This window comes from Homo sapiens, chromosome 11, assembly GCF_000001405.40.
Source record: "Homo sapiens chromosome 11, GRCh38.p14 Primary Assembly".
Lineage (NCBI taxonomy): Eukaryota > Metazoa > Chordata > Mammalia > Primates > Hominidae > Homo > Homo sapiens.
Genome location: NC_000011.10, coordinates 15,032,676 through 15,036,927, shown reverse-complemented (window position 1 = coordinate 15,036,927; position 4,252 = coordinate 15,032,676).

Below are 4,252 nucleotides of genomic sequence, written 5' to 3'. Positions count from 1 at the left end.
AGAATGGGAATTCAGCTGACCTTCCTGAGCCAGGTCTCTGTGTCCTACCCACATGCTGACTCCTCATCAGCAAGAAGCCCAAAAAAGGAAGAGAGAAAAGCCCACTCTTTATTGTCATTATCCTGCCCCTACTAAAGTTACGACTGCTGCTATGTTCTTGTAAGTTACATCCAGCAGATAATTCGTTCCTCCTACTGTGGGAAGGAGCAAGTAAGGAGGAGGAGAGAGAGAAAGGTCCAGGATCTCTGTCTCCAGCCCTCCCTGAGAAGATACACAGGTAACACACATCTTCTAGTTTCATTTGTAAAACAAAACAATAGATTTGGTTTTTCTCTTAGTCTATTTATGCTGCTATAACAAAATACCACAGACTGAGTAATTTATAAAAAACAGAAACTTATTTTTTCACAGTTATGGAGGCTGGGAAGTCCAAGAACAAAGGACCAAAAGATTCAGTATCTGTTGAGGGCTGCTCTTCGTCTCCAAGATGGCGCCCAGCTGCTGCATCCTGCTGAGGGGAGGAATGCAGTGTCCTCACATGGCCAAAGGCTGAAGGGCAAGCTAGACGAACACTGCATGAAGCCTCTTTTTCTAAATGTTATATGTATTATATACTGAATTCTTACAATAAAGTAAGCTAGAAAAAATAAAATGTTATTAAGAAAATCATAAGACAGAGAAAATACATGTATTTCTCTGGAGTAGGTGCCTACATATCCTGTTTCCCCTTCCATCTACTAATATGGGTCCACTTGGGTTTGAACTGCTAGGGTCGACTTGTGGATTTTTTTCAAAAAATTAAAGTTAATAATAAATAATAAAAATGGTTATCCTGAAGTTACCCATATAATTAAACTCACTGTGGTTTCCCATTCCATAATGTGGACTCAGATATTCTCAGTTTAGCCTTTTTTTAAATTATTGTATAATGTCGAGCTAAAGAATATTCCCAGACATTATTATAAATAGATTTCTGGACAGGCTGCACCCAAATAACAATTGCAGTTAAGATGCTGATGCTTAAAATGAATAAGAATAGAAAGATTATGTAACATTAATTTAGTATTTGCTATATGCCAGGCACCATTTTAAGATCTTCATAAATATAATCATTTAAACCTTACTTGGACTTAGAGAGGTTAAGAAACTTATTCAAAGATGCACGTGAACTCAAGCCAATTCTGTCTGATGCCAAAGTCTATATTTTTAATCACTAGCTCCTTCAAACTGCTTCTTAACCTCAAAACAAGGTGAGCTACTGATGGCAGCTACTGCTCCAGGTGGCTTGCCGCTGCCATCATGCCAGCTGCAGCAGGGAGGAACAGCTGGGACTGCAGATTTCATGGAGCAGGTGGGAGCCCCACCCCTTCTGAGTGGGAGCGGGAGCTCCGCAGGTGCCCAAACCGCGCCTGCAGACCCAGCCTGCACCATGGAGCAGGCAGGAGCCCCGCCCTCCTGGGCGGGGCTGCGGCTGCCCAAATTGCGACTGTGGATCCGAGCTTCCTGTGCTCTTGGAGGGTTGGGAGCAGGCAGGATCCCTGCCCTCCTGGGCAAAGCCGCAGCCACCCAAACTGCTGCTACTGATTCGGGCCACTGAGTGGGCAGGAGCCCCACCTCCCTCCCAGCTGCCACCACCCAAACCTGGCTACAGACTCAGGCATCCCTGCACTCTTGGGCCCCCATCCCCTGACAGGCTCAGAAGTGCTTGCCCCCAGTGTCTGGCATCTCCAGCTGTCAGTGCCCCCTTTGATCTGGGAGCAAAGTGGGGCAGAGTCCTGGGGGCATGAATGCCAGTGGGAGGCAGACAGATTCCTGGGTGGAAGGGGCAGTTTCTGGTAAAGCCCTACCTTTGGGCCAGGGAGGGCCTGAAGGCTGGGGGACAGACTGCCAGTCCCGCAGACCAGAGTGGGGACTTGTGGTGCTTCTTCCGGCCTGCCCATGGCCACCCATGGACCAATCAGCATGCACTTCCTCCCCTCTCATGTCCATAAAAGCCCTGGGATCAGCCAGAGCAAGGCAGAGGACGGAGGGACACAGACAGACAACGAAGGACCAGCTGCAGAGAGGAGCTACTGCCTCTAGTGATAGCTGGACATAACAGACAGAAAGGAGCTATCCTCTCCAGTGAGAGGTGCAGAGAGGACAAGAGGACCTGTAGGCGGAAAGGAGCCACCCTCTCCAGAACCTCCTCTGTGCTGAGAGCTGAACACTCCACAAGATGACCCACCTACAGAGAGGAGCTACCCACCTGCCTACAAAGAGAAGCTACCCACTGTAGGTCTCCTCTGAGCTCAGTAAAGCTCCCCTTCATCTTGTTCACCCTCCACTTGTCTGCATACCTCATTCTTCCAGGATGCAGGACAAGAACTCAGACAAAGGCACCACCAGCCACAGAGGTTTCTAGCCGGAAAACTGGCATCCTAAAGATCCCATAACACTACCTCTTATAGAAGTCCCTCATAACCAGGAATTTTTTCTACCTGAGCAGGCTACATGTTACATTCACACTCCCAACCAAATGTTCCTGACTAAACCATTATCATGCCAGATCCTATTGTTGTAAATGAGGTGATTCTACAAATTAAGAAAGAGTTTGAGAAACTTGACTGTATTCAGAGAAGAGAAATACAAAGTGAAGAGATCTTAAAGGCTATGCAGTTAAGAAGAGGTTGAAAGTATCATGGATATTGACTCTCAAGTAAGGATGATTGTGAGGTGAGGGGGAAAAAATATTGTCTCAACAGTTGACAGGCATTTGTTGAACAAGAACAAATTTACTCAGTGTTGCTTCCAAACAGCAATCCAAGTAACAGTGAATTGAAGTTATAAGGAAGCTAGTTCAGAGAATAATTTTTAACCAGATTGTTCAGAAATGAAGCACCTCACTTCTGGAAGAGTCCATCAGAGGCTGAGAGGGATGCAGGAGGAAGAATGATTCTTGCATTAGGTGAGAGATGGGCCTGGGTCAGAGGCTCCCAAACTTACCCATCCATGTCATGTTCACTGCTCTGTGGTGAATGAGAAAAAGGAGAACAATATAATAAATTCCCCAAAACATCATATTTATTCACTTTAGAAGGCCGTCTTTTATTTTGAGATTGCACTCTTCCTCATTTTAAGGCATTAAATGAACTTTTTTCACATTTAACATTGTTATAGTTGTATGTTTTGTTTCTTTTATTAGTAACCTTATATGGTAAATAAAAAGCTGATAAGAATATCTTCACCACAGATCTTAAAATAATTTGTGTTACAATGTATATAATCTAAAAGTCTGAGAACCAGCTGGCCTAGATGCAAACTAAGATCACATGATTCTATGCAGCTCTTTGACATGGATACCAATATAAGAATCAAGGCTGACTAGTAGTCAGGTTACACATACTGGGCACTTCTGTGCCATAAGCTTCATATCTATCATCTCATTTAATTCTCACAACTTTGTTAGTTAGGTAATATTTACATTTCCCTGAGTGATACGGCAGTTAAGTAACTTGTTTAAGGATGCACCACCAGTATACAGTGAAGCGAGGATTGAAATCTAGGCTGTTGGTCTCTAGAAACAGACCTCTTAGTTATTGTGCTAACTTCCCATATTTAAAAAATCAACACTCCTCCCTCAAATCAAGCAAGCAAGCAAATGAAAGAAAGAAAAGAAAAAAGAAAAACCCTTAGCAAGTTAAGAATAAAAGAAAATTTCCATGACTTGATAAAGGATTCCTACCTATAAAAAATGTTTTTCCCAATGATAGAATATTAGAAGCCTTCTCACTAATATCAGGAGCAAGACAAGAAAAACCCACATAATTGCAACTATTCCATATCATAAATAATATATTAAGGCAAGAAAATTAAAAGGGATAAATATTAGATAGCAGGATATAAATCATCATTTGTGATATGCTTATCTGCCCAGAAGAGAATGAAAAAAATTAATAGTTTTCTTACTTACCAACAATAAACAATCCAAAATGTAACCCCATCCCAATAGAAGTTCCCAATAGAAGTCCTAGTTCTAACTCTACACTAGCTCACTATTTCTCTTCCTTTTTCTGAGACTCAGTTTCCTCATCTTTAACAAAGGTTTGCATTGGTTCACACTCCAGCTATAATGCTATTTCTCTTCTGTGTGCTCGCATTAGCCAAATACCAGATCCCTTTATGATTTAAGGAATACTTTATAAGAATGGAAAGCCAGAATTGGCCTTGAGATATTTTTCTTTGCTCATGGTCACTAGGGCACAGGTGTGTT